Genomic DNA, 23,777 nt, shown 5'->3' with positions numbered 1-23,777 from the left:
TGATTGGATTGAAGGATGCAAAGTATTGATCCTGGGTGTGTCTGTGAGGGTGTTGCCAAAGATTAACATTTGAGTCAGTGGGCTGGGAAAGGCAGACTCACCCTTAATCTGGGTGGGCACCACCTAATCAGCGGCCACCACAGCCAGAATATAAAGCAGGCAGAAAAACGTGAAAAGGATAGACTGGCTTAGCCTCCCGGCCTACATCTTTCTCCTGTGCTGGATGCTTCCTGCCCTCGAACATCAGACTCCACATTCTTCAGCTTTGGGACTTGGACTGGCTTCCTTGCTTCTAAACTTGCGGATGGCCTATTGTGGGACCTTGTGATCATGTGAGTTAATACTGCTTAATGAACTCCCCTTTATATGCAGAGCCTATTAATCCATTTTTGCCTAGTGTTCCATTATTGGAATGCTAAACTTGTAGGAGTTATTTATATCCTGCTGCTCAAGGTCATCGCCAAAGTCTGATTTTTCACACAAAAAAATTTGCAACCTCCGTCATAGATAAATTAATTCTATCCCAGTCAGAACCCTGACTGATACAACCTCCAAAAACAAGATGGTTGGACAGCTATATTTCATACCATTACAAAAATGAAGAAACTAAACAACCAATCTTTTCTATTTATATAAACCATGTCTTGGACATAATCTTTTTTTCACCTCTTAAAACTCAAATTGCATGCATACTTCAAGAAACATGATTGCCCCAAAGCAAACATTCAGGCACTGAGAAAGCAAGGTTTGCTGCTATCTGTGAAAGCCACAGTGAAGATTATTCAGAAGTCAAGTTTTCCACTGGACTTAAGAAATATAGAGATCTGTATAAACAAGCAACTTGTTTGCTTATATTCAGGAGACTATCCTTCATTAATCTCACTTACTTTATTAAACTTTGCTTGGTATACTATTCAAAACAGATCATCCTTTAAAAGCAAGAGTTAATTCTCCAAACCTCTAAACAATTTTTTTTTTTGCAACACTTGGAAAATCTGAGAGTAAACAACACTTAATGGGCATTAAGATAATTTGGTTTTCTAAGTTCTAGAAGTAAGTTTAAGACTGGAGATTTCTACTAAGTTTCAAAAAGATGAACTTTCAAGAATGTTCTTTCCCTATTTTCAATTCTTAGCACCAACACAGCCAGGGGATGATCCTAGATATGACTTGAATCATAAGAATGTGCAAGTGGGGGATAAATACCTCCAGAAACTCCTGCCTTGTACATGCTGCTCAGAAAGTTCAGGGGTGGTACTGTTGACTTGAAAAGGAACAGGGCTCAAGAAGTAGAGATGATAAACTTAAATGAGTGAGTGTGTGGAGGGGCGGGGAGGGGAGTGCAGTCATTAAGTCACGCACAACTTAGTGGTTAGTGGGTTTTCAAAATGCTATAGAAATCTAGAAAATTACTGAATGAAAAGTTCCATTTCTACAATGAGTAGAGAGGCAGGTGATACGCAGCATGGGCTAAGAACAAATGAGGGTTCAAAATTCCTCAAAGCCCTCATTTTTCTCTTTTCAGGTGTGACAGAATGGAAAAATATTTCAAACAAATCAGATAAAACATTTTTCCACTAAAACAAAAAAAATCACCAGGCCCATTAAGCACCAGTTACATAATGAATACCTAACATAAACTCTAAGCAATCCTGCTCCCTTCTTCCTACAGTTACTTGTGGCTGCTGGCTGGCTATCGATAATGGTCAAAGTTATTATTTCTATTGTCAAAGGTGATCTTCCCACATGGTAAACTGGCTATACAACTATACCCCATGCAGTCACTTTGCAACTACATGCCTTTGTTCAGGAGATAGAGGATGTGTATCTGTGCTAATTTATTACTATGATTGAAAAAGAAAACACTCTGTAGTTTATGCCTTTTGTCCCACTGAAAGTGAGTTGGCAGCATTACCTGTGTGGTATGTCTATTCCAACAATATGTCAGCAGTCTTAAAAGATTATCACAATAGATATATACAGTAGAGAAGGAGGGGTGCTCATGCGATTCCTCTATAGCAGTGTTTCCCAAAGGATGCACATTCTTGGGCCCCCACTTCCAGAACTAAAGTAGCACAATTTCTAAGAGTGGGGTGATTCCAATATACATTAAAGTTTGAGAATCACTGTCTATAGTGATCAGAATCCCCAAGGAGATTTCTTAGAATGCACATGCCTGTGCCACAGTTCCAGGACTACTATGTCAAGATGTCTTCTGAGGGCAGGCCTGGCCATCTGTGGTGGTGGTTGCAGAAGACAAATAATGTGATAATAGCAAAGCAAGCACTGCCCTAAATCCTTTATACGCTTCACCTCATTTATTCCCCACACAATTCTTTGAGGTAGGTATCATTACTGTCTTCATTGTACATGTATAATAACTGGGACAAGGTCAAAGAAGTTAAGCAACTTACCCAGAGCTGCAGAGCTAGTAAGTGGTGATGCTCTGTGAAGCTGGTTCAGTACCCCTGTCCTAGAAATTTATTTTAGGGCACCTACATCTTAAAAGTACTCTGATCCTCCCAAATTGCAAGGCTTACAGATCCCAGAATGATGCTGCCCTTCCCTTCACTGGGTTCAGAATTGAGGAGCTGTTTTTCAGCAACCTAAGAAGGATTGAGCCAATGAATAAAACAAAAAGCAACTAAAAAAAGAAGAGGTGCACAAGGTTCTTAGTCAAACACTTTCAGTCCTTCTCAGGAGAAAGAAAATAAGGTGAGAAAATTGCTTTTCTAATTAAGAAAGGAAAAAAGCTTGGACTCAGACTCCAGATTTTTTCCACAGCAAAAGAAGTGGGAGGCCTTTCACAAACAACACAATGCTTTTGGTCAAATTAAAGCATTAAAAATTAATGCTTACATGATAACTAAGATGCTTGACTTTACAACCCAAAGAAAATTCTTGTGGGTGTTCAGTAAAGTTGCTTGTGATCTGACAGCTGGCTACTGCAGGAAATAAAATTTCACAGTCCAAGTAGCAGTTTAGTTTGGTAGCAATTATTTAAGAGCTGGGTGGAGCCATAGACAAAGTGAATTTAGATGAATTTAAGCAACATCTCTCAAAATATTGGCCTGAAAATCTTGTTTATTGAAACATAGGATCTAATTAAACTAAGGAGCTTCTGCAAAGCCAAAGAAACTATCAACAGAAAAAACAGGAAAACCTACAGAATAAATGAAAATATTTGCAAACTATGCATGTGACAAAGGTCTAATATCCAGAATCTATAAGGATTAAACAAATTTTAAAGCAAAAATCAAACCCCATTAAAAAGTGGGCAAAGGACACAAACAGACACTTTTCAAAAGAAGACATACATGTGGCCAACAAGCATATGAAAAAAAAGCTCAACATCACTGATCATTAGAGAAATGCAAATCAGAACCCACAATGAGATACCATCTCACGCTAGTCAGAATGGCTATTAATAAAAAGTTTTAAAATAACAGATGTTGGTGAGGTTGTGGAGAAAAAGAAATGCTTATACACTGTTGGTGGTAGTGTAAATGTGTTCAACCATTGTGGAAAACAGTGTGGCAATTCCTCAAAGACCTAAAAACAGAAATACCACTCAACACGGCAATCCCATTACTGCGTACACACTCAAAGGAATATAAACCACTCTATCACAAAGGCACATTCATACGCATGTTCATTGCACCACTATTCACAATAGCAAAGACATGGAATCAACCTAAATGCCCATCAATGGAAGATTGGATAAAGAAAATGTAGTACATATACACCATGGAATACTATGCAGCCATAAAAAAAGAATGAAATCGTGTCCTTTGCAGCAACATGGATGGAGCTGGAGGCCATTATTCTTAGTAAACTAATGCAGGAACAGAAAAACAAATAACACGTTTTCACTTATAAGTAGGAGCTAAATGATGAGAACACACGGTCACATAGAGGGAAACAACACACACTGGGGCCTATCAAAGGGTGTAGGGTGGAAAGAGGGAGAAGATGAGAAAAATAACTGATGGGTACTAGGTTTAACACCTGGGTGATGAAATAATCTGTACAACAAACCTCCATGGCACAAGTTTACCTACGTAGCAAACCTGCACATGTACCCCTGAACTTAAAAGGTGCAGAGAACTGAAGGGGGCATGATTTCATTTATATATATATTATATATATATTATATATTATATATAATATATATTATATATAATATATATAATATATATAATATATATAATATATAATATATATTATATATAATATATATTATATAATATATAATATATAATATATTATATAATATATATAATATATTATATATATATTATATATCATATATTATATATATACACATATATACATATATGTGTATATATAATACATATACATGTGTGTATGTGTGTATATATACATATGTGTGTATATATATGTGTGTGTGTATATATGTCTTTTTGTGCATATGTTATGTATGGTTTATATAAAGATAGAGAAAGTGTGGAAGGATTGATTCCAAATGAATCCATTTTAAAGAGGAAGACCAGAAGGAAAAAGAAAAGATAACTGAATGTTTCTTTATTCACTCCTGTTTTGTTTGATTCGGTACAACAAATCACTACTTTTGTAATTTAAAAAACTATAAAAGAAAAAATTTTAAAATAGCTCCCATGATTTTTTCCTCTGCTGCACAGTAATGGGTTTTTACTGAGTCTATCTTTTTGACAGGCATAACAACTTTCAGTTAGAAAAATTTCCACTACCTTTTAGTCATGGCTGTAGCTCACCTACTTTATGATTTTCCTCTGATAGAAAACTTGGCAGAAACTGTTTTCTAAAAAGACCTGGCTCCTTTAAATAGATCACAGTGGGTGTATAGAGTGGTTTAAGGACCTTGGATAGGAAATGTCACTACATAGCTTCATGGGTTCACCAAAAACCCATGGTTGAACAGTTTTTCACTTAGGAGCTTTTCAACATTTGGGTCAGGAACCACTGAGATCTCCCTCCTGGGTCTGGTATTCTTTTCTTAAGCCTTATACTTGTTACTTTATACTTTTAGCAAACACTGCCCCAAAAGGAGATCCTTTAGTCATTCAGTTCACACAGGACTAAGCTTAAAAAAAAAAAAACTATTTATTGAGCACTTAGGGTATGTCAGACACTGACACTTATGGAGCAAGTCTGTGAGGGAGGCATGTATTCACCAGGAAAAGAAGGAGATGTGATAAAGAAGAGTACCCAAGGTAATGGAAAGTGCTATATCAGGATTCATAACCTCAACTCCCTGTTGCATTATCTTTACCATGCCCTGTAACCTTGAGCATGTCCCTTCCCCACCCAAGTCCTAAACTTCTTCTCCTATAGAGTAGGGAGGTTGGACTAAATCAATGATTCTCAAACTCTAACATGCATTTGTATTATCTGGGGTGCTTATTACAAAGGCAGCTTCCTATGGCCTCACCCCGAGATTTATTGAATCAGATTCTCTGGGGTGGGGGTACAGAAATAGGTATTTTTAATAAGCTCCCCTGGTGGATCTGACACATGTGGTTCTTGACCCACACTTTGAGGAACCCGGGACTCCACGTTCATTCCAGCTCTAGCATACCTTGACACAATATCCAGGTGGCACTGGTAGGGATGTTATTGTAAGGAGAATTAGAACTGAAGGAATGATTTTTCTCATCCATTAATTCCTGAGTCAGGAAACATTAAGTGCCTATTATCTGCCTATACCTATTGTCTAGTTTTCCAAATATGTTTAACTGATTTTGGTGATTTGGCAAGGAATTGGGGGATGGCCAGCTTATGAAGACTAGTATCTTTTAATATCTGGATCAGTGCTTAGTGATGTGCATGCTAATTAGAAACTGATGTAAGAAGCTGTAAGACTACTCATGATAGCAAAAAAGTGGAAACAACCTAAATGTCTACCAATTGATGAATGGTAAACAAATTGTGATATATAGATACTATGAAATATTATCTGTCAATTAAAAAGGAATAAAATACACCTGCTACAAAATGGATGCACTTTGAAAACATCATGCCAGAGCGAAGGGAGCTAGATGCAAAATGCCACATAGTGTATGATTCCATTTATACGAATTGCTTAGAATAGGCAAATCTATAGAGGCAGTAAGTTGATTAATGGTTGCGTAAGTCTGGGCTTGAGGCATCATGTTGGGTAAATGGAGTGTAACTGCTAATTGGTATTGGGTTCCTTTTTGAGATGATAAAAATATCTAAAACTGTGGTGATGGTTGCATGACTCTGTGAATATACTAAAAAATATTGAATTATACACTTTAAATGGATAAATTTATGTTATGTAAATTGTACCTCAATAATGATAATATATGTGTATATGCATGTCTATCTGAAAGAAAAACCTGGGCCAAGCATGGTGGCTCACACCAATAATCCCAGCACTTTGGGAGGCTGAGGCAGGCAGATCACTTGAGGTCAGAAGTTTTAGACCAGCCTGACCAACATGGTGAAACCCCGACTCTACTAAAAATACAAAAATTAGCCAGGCATGGTGGCACATGCTTGTAATCTCAGCTACTAGGGAGGCTGAGGCAGGAGAATCACTTGAACCTGGAGGTCGAAGCTGCAGTGAGCCGATATCACACCAGTGTGCTCCAGCCTGGGCAACAGAGTAATACTCCATCATCTCAATAAGAAAGGAAAGAAAAGAAAAGAAAAGAAAAAGAAAGAAAGAAAGAAAGAAAGAAAGAAAGAAAGAAAGAAAGAAAGAGAAAGAAAGGAGAGAAAGAGAGAGAGGGAAAGAAAGAAAGAGAGAGAGAAAGAAAAAAGAAAGAAAGAAAGAAGGAAGGAAGGAAGGAAGGGAGAGAGAGAGAAAGAAAGAAATAAAGGAGAGAGAGAGAAAGAAAGAAAGAAAGAGAAAGAAAAAAGAAAAAAAAGAAAGAAAGAAAGAGAGAAAGAAAGAAAGAAAGAAAGAAAGAAAGAAAGAAAGAAAGAAAAAGAAAGAAAGAAAGAAAAAGAAAGAAAGAGGAGAAAGGAGGAAGGGGAGGAAGGAAGGAAAGAAGGAAAGAAAAAGAAAGAAAGAGAGAGAGAGAGAGAGAAAAGAAAAAGCTGTATGATTACTTGTTGACTGTTCACCAAGTTAGAAAAAAGTATACCAACCCTTAATATAAATTGAAAATCAGCCTAATGCCGGTTTTAGCAGTCTTTTTTTCATGCAAACACACTTTACATCACTGTTTGCTCTCCATTTCAGGTAGGCCTGAGGTGTGCACATCCTGTTTGCTAGTTGGGTGCTCTGAAGCATTTTTTTTACTCACAGTATGTAAACCTTTGTTGCATTTGCTTTAATCAAATTCAAGCACTTCTGTCCACTAACAAACCATAGTAGCTGGTGTGACTGCTCTTGGCCTTGCCTGTTTTTGTAGTTGTGTACATAGCAGCGGAGTGTATGTGCCTGGAAAGAGATTTTACAATAAAATGCTTCTAATGCAGCAGTATTTAGGCAGAAAGTGTTATACTTTGCATTAAATAAAAATTTCAAGTATATCCTTTAAGTTCTCTGTCTTCTCAGGGACTGATCCTCCTGACCACCACCCCAGAAAGAGTTTGGGCAGTTTTTACCTTCCATTCTTTATTCTGGTATCTAAATTTTAGTGTCATAGGAGCTGACCATTGTGTCTCTCTTTGAGAATTCATGATGAACTTTTAAGGAAGGAGCAATTTTTTTTCTGAAAGAAAAAATTTTTATCTGAAAGAAAAAGCTGGGCCAAGCATGGTGGCTCACACCTATAATCCCAGCACTTTGGGAGGCTGAGGCAGGCAAATCACTTGAGGTCAGAAGTTCCCAGCGAATAGTATAGTATATGAAGCCTATCGGGTTCTTAGTGGATGTTTATTTAATGAAAAAAGATCTTCAGTGTCTCCCTTGGGGACCTAGAAAGGCCCTAGCTAGCATCCTTCATGCAAAAGATAATTCTGGGCTTGACTTTCCATCCCCAATGTTCCTGAGGTGAATGTGCAGATTCAGCACCTTGCTCCATAGACATAGGCATGCACCACATGAATTTTCAAATACCTACATATTAATCACATGTCAGAACCTATTAACTAATAGCTGATCTATAAACCATATGAAGAGATTAGAAGCATATAGAAAAGTATGCACACACAAATAAAAACCCTTGCAGAATACAGATTGAGATTTAATCTAATTCTGCTCAGTTTTAACTTTCCTATCATTTTTATTAGTCTTCACAGTAAAAGCTATTTGGGAGACCCACACAATACAACAGTGAAAAAGTTGGCCGAGCCACATAATGTGCCCAGCATTTCTAAGTGGCTTAGTACCTTCTTAATAAAGATCATAATTTGAATCTTTTGCTCCTTTTGCTTCTGAAAATTGGAACAAGTAAAATCATATGTTTTGAGACTAATTGAAAATCGAAGCCCAGAAGCCCATTTGCTTTGTTTGGGAGAGCATGTGCAAGTTGTTGGTTATATTTAGAGATGCATAATTTAAAACACTTTTACATTCATTCGTATAGCACTTGAAACTTTTGTGGCATTTGCATGTCAAGTATTTCATTTGAGCCTCAGAATAGCTCTTTGAGATAAGCAGAGCATGGTACTAAAATCATAGAACCACAGGATTCAAAGGCACCTAAAGGCACATAGTTCAACTGCCCATCTCACTTGGCAGGTGCCAAACTCAGGCATAGAGGTCAGTGGTTGGCTCAAGGTGGTACTGCAGGTTTTCCTACATGAGGCATTCCCTTTATAAATGTCTAATGACACTCAGAGATAGAAAATATTATTGAAACCTCTACAGTGCTCAAGGTTGGCAGGCAAGGATTAGAACCTGGAAGTTTCTGCCTTGGGGTCCTAAATACAGACTTCTCTCTCCCTCAGTACCTTTTATACACATCAGTTTGATTCTTTCCTATCATCGACTTTACTATAATCTTCTAAATATATATACCTTCTGCAGCCTCCAAAAGAGTTAAACCCCCATCAGCAGACATAAAATTTCTTGGTCTGACAATCTTATGTTGCCTTCAGTATTTCAGGTTGCCTGAGGTGCCATATTGATTAAGCTACATTCTGGAGAACTAAATATATGTAGAATATTATATGGTTCCCCTACCAAACACAAAACTATAAATTAATGGATCCCTCTTGTTGACATTGTAAAGCAGGCGTGCCTGAAGTACAACTGTAATATTCCTTGCAGGACAATGTATTTTACTTGTAATGTCTATAAAATGAATAGTTGTTCAAATGTAAAAGCTGTGACAGAACACAGATGTCTATATAGAAGGTGACATAGTGGGAGAAGGATGACAGTGAGTATTTGCAATGTAAGAAGCCAGAAAGTACTGGGGGAAGAAAATAATACAATGGACCAATGGCAGGACAACCTTTCACTATGGAAGTGACAGAGAGGTTTAATCAATACATCAATCCTGAATATAGTGAGAGGTAATATAAACATGTTTTGCTTTGTTTTCCTCTTGGTATTTTGTGGCTCTAAGTGCTGTAGAATGTAACTGAAACTGTGGCAGAAGAGTAGAATCAGGTAATTTGGGCAATTAATTAGGAGTCCTGCACATCAATGGATGTTTGTGTGGGGATAGGGGTGGGGAAGATTCTAATATAAATAGTGCTGAGGGCAGCACAGAGTGAGCTCTAGTTTGAGAAAAGTGGTTAAAATAGATTTTGACATGCATATTTTTTCCTCTTGCTCCTTTGGCTCCCCCCTTCAAAACTCCCCAGTAGATTGTTCTGTTTTTAAAATAGTCCTCCTCACTTTGGTCTTGCCCTAAGTTTCTTTTCTAACTTTTATTTTAGCTTCAGGGATACATGTGCATGTTTGTTATATAGGTAAACTATGTGTTACAGGGGTTTCGTATACAGATTATTTTGTCACCCAGGTACTAAGGCTAGTGCCTGATGAGTATTTTTTTCTGATCCTCTCCCACCCTCCACCCTCAAGTAGGCCCCAGCGGGTGTTGCTCGCCTCTTTGTGTCCATGTGTTCTCGTTGTTTAGCTCCCACTTATAAGTGAGAAGATGTGGGATTTTATTTTCTGTTCCTGCATTAGCTTGCATTAGTTTGCTTAGGATAATGGCCTCCAGGTCCATCTGTGTTGGTGCAAAGGACATGATTTCATTCTTTTTTATGGCTGCATAGTATTCCATGGTATATATGTACTACATTTTCTTTATCCAATCTTCCACGGATGGGCATTTAGGTTGATTCCATGTCTTTGCTATTGTGAATAGTGCTGCAATGAACATACATATGCATGTCATTATGATAGAGTGATTTATATTTCTTTGGGCATGTACCCAGTAATGGAATTGCTGAGTTGAATGGTATTTTTGCTTTTAGGTCTTTGATTTCTCTGCACCATAACTTTTTGACATGTATCTTTATACATAATTCTATAATACATATAAAACAGCAGTTCTCTGCCCCTACCCCAAGTCCTTTTTCTTAAAGACAACTTCAACTTTTTAAGCTATTTCATCTGTTATGTATCTCCATGTTTATAAACAATATGTTCATATTTCTGCTTCTTAGTCAATATTACATATTATCTATTGAGTTCCTAATACAGAAGATAATAACCAGTTGTCCTCTCTCAATTATTCAAATATAGCTATGTGATAATTTTACATTATTATGAATATTAAGTTGTGAGCCAAATAGTATATTATGATTTCATTTCCTTTCTTGAACTTTTTGTTTTTCCTGCAGTTATAATATGAAAATTGTCTCATTTTCACGTGACTCATTTTTCTATATCTCTATAACCAAGTGCCCCCAAACTTTCCAACAGATCATTAAAAACTCATGAAAATAATTTTCCTGGAACATCCCTCCTGGAGCCCTCTCTCTTCCTGCTGAAAATCTCAATAAGTTGTTCCCTTGACCTATTTGCACAACTGAAATGCTAGAGTTTCTCTTCACCTCTTATCTTTGTTGTATTCCCTGTTGCCTGTATCTCTTTACTACTGTGCTGGATCCCCTCTGTGTGCCCTTCCAGATCCCTTACCACCATTCTGCACGTGATCTCTGCCTTGGGACTGATTCAACATTAAAAGAACCCCCTTCGGCCCTCTCTGGTAGATCCAGCTCAGGATCAGGAAATGTGTAAGGTGTCTTCACACTGCCACTTCTATCACTGCCTTCATGTAAAAACCTCTGCCTCTTTGAGGCTCATGCCATTCAGCTTTAGCATTCTCTCTATTCTTGGAGATAGCACTAGTAGGAGCCCCTTCAAACTCTCTTTCTGTCTTTTCACATGCCCCTATCATTGTTTGAGCACTTCTTACTTTCTGGCAGCACAAGATGTGCCCACCCTCATCTTTTTGCTTCTCTGCCCCAGGCCTGAGATAAGCAATTTCTTCAAAGAACTCTGATTACTTTTAGTGAAGATTACTATTGACAAACTAAGATGTGGGTGTTTGTTATGTTTATCACTACTAATGTGTTGCTATTCCTGGCCCTCTCAGTGGACAAAGTTAGGAAATATACATATGTGTAAGATATATAATCATTTACATAGACAAATAGAAACATAAATATATACATAGATGGAGACAGAAATAGCCATGAATGACTCTGATAATTCCAATTCAAAACCACAGAGTCCCTTCTAGCCTCCCGCCTTTCCATATTTGTAACTGCCTTCTATGACAGTGAGAAGCCCACTCCTATTACTCTTAATATATTTATTTGCTCATTCTCCCAGCATGTAGTCAACTATCCGGCCTTGCCAGACTGCCACCCCACTCTGTATGAGTCCTGACCCCTGCAAGGCTACCATCCCTCATATACTCTCCTGACATAAGCCCTAGCCACTGCTGGGCTGCATCATCACCCTGCTCTTGTGTCCTCCTCATACAGACCCCGACCACCCTTGTGCTTTCTTCCCACCTCACAACCAGTTTTTACCTTAATTATCAGTCCCCGACCACCCTTGTACTTTCTTCCCACCTCACAACCAGTTTTTACCTTACTTATCAGTCCCTGATGCTTCCTTCCCTATACAGTTTCAATTCATAATCCATCACTTCCACAACTTGTACTAATATCTTCACCTTCTCATTCTTTTGTCCCTGTGATGGATCCTGGCAAAACTCAGTTCTGGATCAACACAACTGTCCACTTCCTCCATTCTTACACCTGAGCAGAGCTTGAAAAAACTGCACAGCTGTGTAGACTATTTTCACTTATAAAGTCATGATCCCTAACCTCATTGGAACTCTCACTCTTACCTAAATATTCTTCTGCATTTATTAATGACCTCTTTCCCCCAAGCTCCAATGCTCCAATTGGCTATTCAGACTTCCTTCCCAACTACTGCTACTTCCCAGAGAAAACAGAGGATAACTGAGGACATGGAACTCTTAAACACAGGATCCAATGGAATTACTCACTTTGAACAAAACACTAGGGAATTGGGTGAGTATGGGAACGGAAGGGGAGGAGGCAAGAGAATGAATGGAGTTAGAAAGTCAAGTCTGAAAGTAAAGTCAAAGGCAAGAACAACTGCCTGAATGGAAAAATGTAGTCTGAGATGAGCAGTGGGTGTTTGAAATAACTACCATGGGAAACAGATGGGAAAGAAAGCTGAATATGTACATGTAAAAGGTCTTCCTAGCACCTCTGCAGGGCCCAAATGAGGTTTTAGACCATGTACTGTTTCTGGCACAGGTATGAACTTCTCTAGAGTTCAGCCATAGAGATGTTGGAACAGAGAAAGTGGTGGTTAGATTGATCCAAAAACGGAGAGGGAGGTGTTGTAGGCAGATTTAGTGACAAGATAATGAGTCTAGAATCAGATGAAGATATTAGCAAAAGGACAATACTACAAAGTTTAGGCTGGATAACAAAGGAAATGATATTATAAAGCAGTTATTAGGTTCAATTGGGAAATAATTGTACATTTTAGACTCTGAAGCAAAAGTTTCAGAGGTTTTACCCCATCATCCCTTCTGGTTGCAAAATGCAATTATCTTTGGTCAACAGATTGCAATTACCACCTCCAAATATTAAGTAGGCTTTTTAAATGATATATCCTATGGTACAACGCCTTAGGATACTTTTGTAAAAAAGAATATAAAGACAAAATTGAAGAGTTGAGAGGGCTATGTCTATGGCTCCATCTGAAGCTTTAATTTTTAATATCATATATTTTGTGATTATAGAAGTAACATATCTTAATTGTAGAAAATTTGAAAGCTACATAACTGAGCTAAATAGTATCTGTTACTACTCTTAGTATACATACTTTTGTGTCACGTTTAAATGCATGGATTTTAGAGCGAGACTGGCTGGGTTCTCACCCCAGAACAGCCATTTCAATAGCTTTGTGACTAGGCAAATTACTGAACTCGTGTCTCAGTTTCCTCATCTAAAAATTGTAATAAAAATACCACCTACCTCCCAGTAAAATAATTATTAATATGAAATGATTTAATACATATAAAGCTGTACTAAGAATAGAACCCAGAATATAATTAGTCTCCACTGAATGTTAGCTATCATTATTTGTGGTCATAGCCCTTAGTCTAAATTCTGTGTCACAACTACCCATTATTAGGGGCATTAAATAAGACCTAGGAAATAGACGTTAGGGAAATTGATTTTTCCATTTTCTAGAAAGTTTAAAGCAGATATTTCACTAAAGGATATCTGGGCCCTGATCTGGTTTTCTTTCCTCAGATGAGGATGTGACCTTTTTGATTCTGAGTTTGGTTCAAGAACCAGGAGAGCTGTTAGTTCTAAACATCCCCTTAAATGGAAATATGGTGACATAGATGCTGAATATTAAAAAACTAATGGTGTATAGGGGAAAAAGTCAGCTGTATTTTTGGATCTGGCAAGACCATTCCCTGTATAGATAGTGGCACTGGCAAGACCATTCCCTGTACCGATAGTGGCACTGGCAGCTGTAAATCTATAGAGAACAATGGAGCAGGTAAGTTCATGCCAAGATATGCAGCATCTGCCACTATCTTATGAGGCTTTATCCTTGTCTAGTTAGAGCAGAAAATTACACTACATGGTCCTTTCCCCATATTCCCCAATCCATATTCCTCTAGAATCACTGCAAGTGTTACCAGAGCTAGCATGTAAAATACTTCAATAACTCTATATATTTATAGGATATATACAATATGTTTATAATATAAAAAATAAGAGTCCAAATAACACCTTATTATTTGTGGGTGGTTAGCTGATGGAAAGTTATATTTTTGAGCTAATATAAACCTTTACATATCAAATATTACAATTGTTTGTTTGTTCCAATTTATCTTTATTATTATATGTTTATCCATATACATTTTCTATGTTTATGTAAAATGCTCTATTGATTTTTCTGATTTCTTCTTTTATTATTATTAGAAAGTCCTGCTCCCAGGTTACTTTTATTATATTTTAGTTATTATATACTTTCCTTTTTTTACATTTAACACTTGAATCCTTCTGAAGTTCACATTTAACTTTGACTAGCTTATCTTATAAATTATATAAGCATAATAACTGCCACTGTGCTTTAAGCAGAGTATTGAGTACCATAAGCATTTTAAATGCATTATAAAATATATGCTTGTATTATTCTCACTGTAAATAAACAAAAGCACAGGCTGATTTTTTAAAGAAAATTCAGTCTTTTCACCTATAATTAACATTTTGGTGAAAAACTTTCTATACATTTCATATGCTTATATGCACACATAGATGTACACAAATACATAAACAAGTGAAAAAATTGAATTGTGTTTCTTTGTAAGCTACCTTTTCCATTAAATTATATTTATGGATATATTTCCATATCAATAAATGTAGGTCTGCTTTGTCTTTAATGTGTCCAAGTAACTGATTAAAATGATACATCCCAATTGACCTAGTCAATACACTATTAGAGCCACTTATATTGTTTTCAAAGCTTTGCCAGTATAAATGAAACATTAATGAACATCCTTGTGTATACATGTTTTAGTACTTGCATTTATCTTCTTAGAATAAATACTTAGTGAAATTGCTAAGTCATAGAAGGTATTTTACATTTTTATACAGATTGCCAATGCAATCTTTGGAAATGGACCAATTTAAACAGTACGTTGGATCATCCATATCCTCACAGGTTTGCCAAAACCATGTTTTATGTTGGTTTTGAAGCCTTCTTAATCTGATATGTGAAAACTATTAGTTTTTATTTGCAAAGTGAGTTTGGTATTCCTTTTTTGGTGAGTATTCTATTCATGAATTTTCCCCATTTTTTCTATGAGATTTATTTTGTAATTAATATGTGGAAGTTCTTTTATGTTAAGAATAACTACCCATTGTTATGTGTCACAGATATTTTTCCTAGTTTTTTAATTAACCTTGATTATGGTATTTTTTACCATAAAGACTTTTTTGAAGGTTAAATGTATCAATCTTTTCCTTTAAGCCTTCAGTCTTCATAATTAGAAAAACCTTCTCCATCTCAAGACTATAAACATATCATAAAATAAAATGTTAAATTGTAATTATATAGATTTTCAAATAATCTAAAATATCTTTGAGTGTCTTTATAGTTTTTTTTACATTTAAATCTTTGAGAAAGCTGGAATTAACTTTGGTTTAAATAGTGGGTATAGATGTAGCTTTATTAAATTTCCCCTCAATGACCAGCTGTTGTCCTAATCACATTTACTGAAAAATCTATCTTTTCCCTCAAACGCATGAATTTGAAATCTTTGTCATTTCTTAAAATCCATAATATACTTAAGATTATTTCTTTGGACACTGTTCTGTTATAGTAATGTGTCTGATCCTACACAAGTACCATAGTATTTTAATCATTATAATTTCCAATATAAGTTATACGTGATAGATCAAGTTCTTTATAATTTTTTCTTCTTCAGAGTTTTATCTGGAATTTATTCTGGTGTTTGATATGACATAAATATCTAATTTGTCTCCCAAACAGAGTCAAGATGATTCCTGTAATGTTACTAATTTGTGTTCTGAGAAGGAAGAAAAGTGGCAGCACTATGGCACTGGGAATTCTGCATAAACCCATGAAAGCAGTCACCTTTGTGAACGTGTTTTTGGTGGAAACAAGTGTTGAGAACCATTGTTGTATAATAGTGCTGTCCAGTAGAACTTACTCTGGTGATGGGAATACTCTATAGCTGTACTTTCCAATATGGTATTCACTGACCACATGTGGCTATCAAGTACTTGAAATGTGGCTAGGTGACTGAGGAACCGAAATTTTTAGTCTTATTTAATTGTAATCAGTTTAAATTTATACAACTGCATATTTATTGAATAGAGCACTTCTAGAGCATAGCTGTTTTAAAAAAATCAGTGCCCTATTATACTGCTTCATGACATTATTGGCAAATAATAGATTTGGCAATTTCCTACTTAACCTGAAACTATCATTTACATAGTAAAATGCTAAGGCTAATACTGAGATCTCAAAGGCAGCTCAATTAAATAAGTATGTAACAGATGCTTCCTATACCCTTGGCACTCTGCAGAACAAAAGACAGCCTTCCAAAAGTTTAAAATTTAGTAGAGGAGATAGAGTGATACACAAATAACAATAATGTTTGCAGAACAAGGTAAATATCATAAAAGGGGGATCAACAATGTGCCAAGAGAGTTATGAAAAGGGAGAGATTGCTGAGCACAGCGGTTCACACCTGTAACCGCGGCACTTTGGGAAGCCAAGGCAGGCAGATGGCTTGAGCCCAGAGTTCAAGACCAGCGTGGGCAACATGACAAAACCATATCTCTACAAAAAAAAATACAAAAATTAGCCGGGCATGGTGGCATGCACCTGTAGTCCCAGCTACTGGGGGCGGGAGGCTGAGGTGAGAGGATTGCTTGAGCCTGTGAGGTCAAGACTACAGTGAGCTGTGATCACACCACTGCACTCCAGCCTGGGTGGCAGAGTGAGGCCCTGTCTAAAAGAAAAGAAAGAAAAAGAAAAGGGACAGATTATTTTAGCTATGAGGTATGAGAGATAAATTAGGGAGAGTTGCATTAAGCTGTTTCTTGAATATGGTTTGTTTTCAACAGGCAGAGAAGTAGAGATGGAAATTGGGAGGAAAAATACTTCAGGGAAAAGAATGGCATAAGCAAGGGCACAAAAGATATATAACAAAGGTTATAACTGGATAATGGTGAGTGATCCAGTCTGGCTAGATTATGTGAACAGGAAGGTAGTAAGAAATATGGCTTACTAGGTACACTGAGGCTAAATATTAAAGAGCCTTAAACTTCTGGCTAAAGAATTTGGACTTAGTTTTACAGCTAATGAGGAGAGAATAAAATCCCTTTAGTCTAGTGCTATCTGAGCCAGGACCCCAGAGCAATAATAGCTTTGTGATACCAATAAAACAAAGTTTCCCAATTTGGACAGACCACCTGCCTCACAAATAATTATAAATATTAAGCAAGGTAAAGAAAGGGGAAGGGCATTCCCCAAAGTATAAAGCAAGCACAACATAAATGTTAAAAATTCATAACATAATACAATGATCTAGATGATTCCTAGAGTGATGCACACCCAAGTAAGCCAGAGCAAAATGACCTATTTGGGCATAGCAATAGACTGTTAACAAACAAAAGACTATAAAACACAGTTCTAATAATTTTTAAAAGGTGTAATTTCAGCAGGCCAACTGATAGGAAACAACACACTATTTGGGTCCCTGGATATTGAAAGGATGATATGGACTCTCTGGGTTAGGCAACAAATGTCCCAAATCTGATGTTTGAGTTCCCACCAAATGGTTGGCCGTGCTGTGTACTCACCTGCAATGTTAGAGAACTTCCTGTATTAGTTTGTTCTCATACTGCTAATAAAGACATACCCAAGACTGGGTAATTTATAAAAGAAAGAGGTTTAGTGGACTCACAGTTCCGCATGGCTGGGGAGGCCTCACAATCATGGTAGAAGGCAAAGGAGAAGCAAAAGCATGTCTTACATGGCGGCAGGCAAGAGAGCTTGTTCAGGAGAATTCCCATTTATAAAACCATCAGATCTTGTGAGATTTATTCACTACCACAAGAACAGTAGTGGGGAAACCATCCCCATGATTCAATTATCTCCACCTGGCCCCATCCTTGATACGTGGGGACTATTACAATTCAAGGTAAGATTTGGGTGGGGACGCAGCCAAACCATATCACTTCCTAAGGTTACAATGCAACTTATTTAATGCATCAGGCAACTCAAATGGTTAGAGATTATTTTAGATTCAATAACAATCTGTATGACTTAACAACCACTCACTAAGTAACACTTTTAAATAAAGAACTACATGAGCTACAGGAAGATTAATCCTAACATGTAGGATATACTGAATTAGAGAGCAGATCAAAGACAGCAAGAAAAGGCTTTTGTAGCAGGCCAGATCAAGAATCTAGAAGACCTAACTGCAAGTGGTGGCAGTACAAATGCAAAGGAGAAAACCTATTCTAGAGACAGAATTCAGGGCATTTAATAAAAGACAGGATGCACGAGGTAGTGATGGATGAGGCACACAGGAGCAGTCACAGATGAATGAGATCAGAGGTGCTAGGGTTAGAGAATAAGGACCTCATTAAAAGGAAGGGATAAAAAAAAAAAACAAAAGTTTGCTTGGGGAAAATGTCAAGTCAGTGTCTTAATACATTTTCATGACAACAGAACACCCAAATACAGGAATAAAGCAAACCAGCTAAAAAGCATTTTGAAACTCAAGAGAGAAGCCAAGGTATAGCTACACGAAGCTGTGAGATTAATGGGAAAAATAAAGCAAGAAGGCTACTAAATCTAGGCTTCTTGGCACAGGGAATATGTATTTAGATCATTTGACAAAAGATTTGGAACCATGTCTGTGGCTGGGGAAGCCCAAAAGAAACTGCCCCACAGTGGACTCACTCTAGTGCCTCTGATGTCATTAGGAGATAACTCAAAGTGAACCAGCCCAAATAGCGGTAGCTTTGGCCAGATGTATCCATGTGTTACATCCTTGCATCAGGCCTTACATTAGACACATTTTTAAAATAGAGGTGGGGTGTCACTATGTTGCCCAGACTAATCTCAAACTCCTGGGCTCAAGTGATCCTCCCGCCTCAGCCTCCCAAAGTGCTGGGATTGTTACAGATGTGAGCCACCATGCCCAGCCTGGACAGACACATTTTATTTTGGCAAATTCCTTGGCACTTGCAGCTCCAAGTCTAAAGATAATGAGAGGCTTATTTTCAAGTCCTAGCTCAGGATAATTAAAGCACATATTGCACATTCCACATTTACCTTTCTCTACCAAGTTGGCTCCAATCACAGCTTTCTGACCTAGGATCAAGGGACAGTTCTCAGAGATTAAAAGGTGTGAGTTTCTGACTACAGCTAGAAACCAGCCTTGAAAAAACCCTGTTAGTCTACATCTCGAGGTTTGGCAATGATTTTTCTTTTATATATTATTAGTGAAGACCTCAAACTTGGGACTTTTTATCTCTTCCACTTGATTACAGTGCATTTTCACAAAGGAGGTTATGGTACTTCTCAAACGAAGAAGGCAGTGTGTACATTTGTCTTCCAACAGTCCCAGCTGTAATCATTACTGCTGCAGTTACAGGAAATTTCCAAATACAAAGGATAAATATATGTTCCCCTTTGGTTTCATCATAGTGCTACAACCTGTCACAGAATCTACTCAGGGCCTCACATCACATCGTGATGATTTTATTTAAGGCACAGATGTGAACACAAAGTTCTGTTTTACCAAAGTATACGATCATTTCAACCATATTTTAACTCATTTCACCTTCCCAATCTTTCCCCTTCTTCCCAAATAGCAAATGTTTGCACTGAGACACTTCAATAAACTATGGAAGCCAGTGTATTTGATAAAGTGAAGTTTATTCTTTTAAACAAAACTGAAATAGTCACTTCATAATTCATCTTTTTTATATGGTCAGATTCTTTACAGCATGTCTTTTTAAAGCTAAATAAAATTTCAATGGGCTTTGCAGCTGTGGAGACATGTTCCAGATGGTTATAAGGGGCTGTTCTCCAGGTTATCTCACCATCAGTTCACCCTAATAAGCAGCATATGTGTGTATGGACTCTATTGCCAGTTATTGGCAAACAAGAATGTTCTACAACATTGAGGAACTATTTCTCAGGAAATGAATGGGTAAATCAAGATTCAGACTTGATTTTACCTGTAAATGCCACAGTCCAGGGGCACCCTGCTATCCACCACCCCTGACCAGTACCTTTAGCCTCTGCACAGAGAGGTCAAAGTGGTAGAAGCCCCGCAGAAACTAAAAATGGCCAATTGCTCAACCTAAGACTGGCCAGATATCAGAGAGGGAAGCAGAGGCTATTCCACAAAGCCGGATTTAAATCCTCAACCCTACTGCTCCAAAGGTCTGGCCTTGACCTATAGGGCAGAAGCAGAAGCGGCTGCAGCTGTCTGTTCACGGAGGCAGCTTTGGTCGCAACTTGCCTCTCCTTCAGACCAGCTGAGGTTAGAGTGGGCAAGCCAGGAGCCTTTGATGCCACAGCCCTTTATCCACATTTAAACGCTATTTAAATCAGCTGCTTCCACCTCAGTAATTGCAGGCTGTCTACCCCAGGGCAGCCCTCAAATTGGAGAGCTAACTGTAAGCAGGTGGTTTCAAACTGGAGTCTCCGCATCGGGTCCAGCAGCCTCACGGTGCGACTGTACTGGCCATAGAGCAGGGGTTGCTCCACGGAGGAGAGGAGTAGAAGGGATGCAAGTGGCGAAGATAGGCACTTCTGCTGAAGCCTCGGCTCAGGAATACTTGGGAATTTCACCCTCCCTAAGTCCCAGGGTAGTTGCCCAATTGCTATCTTTGGGGAAGCCGGAAGCATGGAGAAGAACGCGTTCTGTGCGGCAAGAAGGGGTGGAAGCCTAAGTATCCGAGACCCTGCTGGCAAAGAGCCCAGTGGTACAACAATGCATGGATACTAGTGCCCCAAATAATCTGCTTCCACGGCGGGTAATTGTGGGCTATCTAGCCCAGGGCGGCCCGCAAATTAGAGAGTTCACACCGTACGGGTCGGCTCAGAGATGAAGCCAAAACCTTGGGTCGGCTGCTGCGGTGGGGTGGGAGATGAGGATGTCAGTGGGAAAATGGACCCCAGTCCCAGACACTTGTCCCAAAAACTTAACTCCTTCATTCCCAGGGACTCTGTCACTGAGGTAGTCTTCCTGAACTGTAGGACGCCCGTGCTGAACTTGCAGGCTCAGAGAAGTGTCCTTTCCTCCCTCCCTCCCTTACTTCCTTGGGGTCTGTTCCCAGCTATGCCGCATGTTTAATAATCTACAGCTTGATTCCCCTGGCCAGGAAAAGAAAGGAGGATTCCTTCTTGGAGGTCTACACATTCGATTGAAGGTAGTGGTGGTGGGCAGGTCCCGCTTCCTCATTCGGGGACAAGATACTCCTAAATAGACTCCCCCTAAAAAAAACACCTGTGATAGGCTCTAGAGTAGCTTTCAACTGAGAAGTACTTTTCCAATACTTCTGTGCAGTCACAACTTTTGTGGGTGGCAAGGGGAAAATCTTGAATACTTGTTTACTAATGTCTCTAAGTCCTTGGGCGGCACAGATGGAGAGGGGATGGCTGCAGGGACCAGGAGAAACCCCTGAAGCAGACATTTGTTATAATACACATTTCCCTTGCCAGGGTCTCCTTGCCAAAGCATTTTTCTTAAACGTCTGATGGTGACAGATCAAGCTGTTTGCTCCAATGCCAGGCCCAGAGAGGCAAGGCGAGCCACTCGCGAGTGGCTATCCCTACTCTCCCACTCTAGTTTTCCTTCACAAGGAGTCTGAAGCGCAATTTGGCGCGGGCAGATCCTCACGCCTGAGCAGCAGTGGGGACCTGGGAAACCCACTCTAGGGGTATCGGGGATTCTTGCGGGAAGAGGAAAGGGGGCGTCTCGGGAACCACAGGGGAAGTACCTTCAGGCTCTCAGTGCAGGAGCACAGAGATGGCCCCAGATATCCAGCGATCTCCCCTGCCTAGTGCTTGGTGGGAATCCCAGGAGCGGCAGCGTATTGCTGGGGAACCCCTCGCTGCTCCACCCAGGAGCCGCCTTGAGCCTCTTCCCAGCTCCAGTTGCTCTCCCAGCTGCGGCAGAAATGTGGGCAGTCAGAAGCGCCCAGTTGGAAATTGCCTTCCAGGCTGCAGAGCCCGCGCGCCAGCCGCAGAGAGCATGAAGATCCCGCCGCGGAAACGCAACGCTTGGGCTCGCGGGCACCTGAAGGACGGCGCACGCTCCTCCCAGGCGAAGAGCCCCTGGCCTTCGGAGCTCTATTCCCTAAACTTTCTGGGAAGGCTAAAGGAAGAGAAAGCCAACTGGCAAATTTCCAGGCGCGGAGACCAGAGCTGCAGGAAAGATAAAGCCTCCATTGGCTGCGGCCTGCCCCGCTGCCAACTGAGAGCGCAGCGCGTTCTCCCCTGGCCCTTGCCAGTCAACTCTCCAGCTCTGCGAGTGGACATTACCTGAGTCTTGCAAAACGGCCAGCAAAACGTCCAGCAGGTCTCAGATGCGTAGTTCCATGTCCAGGGCGAGACGGCGAGCCGGGTTCCGGAGAGCGCGGGCTGGGACTTCCCAGGCAGTCGGAGTGGCTGAAGGGGGCGCGAGGAAGACCGCGTCTCCCCAAACAGCGGACAGTACAGCCCCGCCTGTTTTTTCCACTCCCTGTCTTAGCCAAAGAGGATACTAGTAAACTTCCCCCCAGCCAGGGAAGATTTCTAGAGTTCAGCAGAGCTTCTGTGGACTTTGGGGAGAGCTGGAAAGGGAGAGTTAAGGAGGGTTTCTAAATTACTCAGCTCCGTAGTTAGAATGGCAGATGCTGCCTCTGTCTCTCAGTGACTAGACTCTCCTAAGTCGCCTGCCTCCCAGACTCTTCCTTTTGCGCGACTTCGCTTCGGAGCAGCCTTGCCCCAGCAACACCTTGCCTCGGCCAAGCGGTGCACTCCGGGACGCGGGCGCCTCAGCCTGTGGCCCTCGCCCCCCTTGCGAGGTAGGCACACTCCAGGAGCGAAACACCAGCTGCCCTGTCGCCCTAACGGAGGTGCAGGCGGCAGGTGCAGACTCTGCCTGTCCACCTCTCTCCCTCCTGTTCGCTGCTCCAGTCTTTCCCGGGAACCCTACAGCCAGTGTGCAAAAGCCCACAAGTCTCCCTTAGTTCCGAAGAGGGAAGGGCGCCTGGAAATGAGCTCCAGGCTCGCCTCACATCCTGCCACCGCTGCTGCCGCCTCCAAAATATGCCTGGAGTGCGGGTGGGAGGGTAGTGGGAGTGACCGAGAGCTGCGTTTTTGTCGCTAACAGTTTGGAGCCTCCTGGCTGACTGATTGCACCGGGGAGGAGGTGGGAATTAGAGAGAAGCGCTCTGGCGCGTCACGAAAAGAGCTGCTTCTGCTCCTCCTCCTCTTCCACACCCCTTTAGATTTGGGAGCGCGGGGAGGGGAGGCAGATTGAGAAAGGCTGCCAACCCCAAGTCCCCCATCCCCTGGTTTAAAAAAAAAAAAAAAGCGCTCTCTTACCTTTCTCCGGAGAAGGAAAGCGTGTCCCGGCAGCGCCGTCTAGCGTCCTTACCAGAGTAGGCCGGCGTACAGGATTGGGGCGAGCGCTCAACTGAGTGCAGGTATGGAAAGCCACTAAAAGTTTTCCAGCTCTCCCAGTCTCCAGTTCTAGCCGCTGAACAGGTATCTAGTTCAGTCAGGAGTTCACCTGCTTGGTTCCCCGCAGACTGGAACTTGCTTTTAAAGACGC

At 39.9% G+C, this 23,777-nt stretch overlaps 1 protein-coding gene across 1 annotated transcript in view, besides 1 other annotated feature; it reads right to left on the bottom strand.

The window, feature by feature from the left end:
- The window catches only part of IL1RAPL2 (interleukin 1 receptor accessory protein like 2), a 1,201,631-nt gene extending 1,178,277 nt beyond the window's left edge, over nt 1-23,354 (bottom strand). Inside the window, exon 1 of the mRNA NM_017416.2 lies at nt 22,502-23,354. The gene's annotated coding sequence lies outside the window, so the exon portion shown is untranslated. The remainder of the gene's footprint in view (nt 1-22,501) is intronic.
- Nucleotides 21,520-22,277: an enhancer, noted in NCBI's record as "H3K4me1 hESC enhancer chrX:103811957-103812714 (GRCh37/hg19 assembly coordinates)". NCBI's record gives its function as "activates a minimal SCP1, AML or CMV promoter by ChIP-STARR-seq in naive H9 embryonic stem cells {active_cell/tissue: H9 hESC(naive)}" and the evidence as "EXISTENCE:reporter gene assay evidence [ECO:0000049][PMID:30033119]".

The sequence above is a fragment of the Homo sapiens genome, chromosome X (genome assembly GCF_000001405.40).
Source record: "Homo sapiens chromosome X, GRCh38.p14 Primary Assembly".
In the NCBI taxonomy this organism is placed as follows: Eukaryota; Metazoa; Chordata; class Mammalia; order Primates; family Hominidae; genus Homo; species Homo sapiens.
This window is presented reverse-complemented; position numbering and strand designations above follow the sequence as displayed.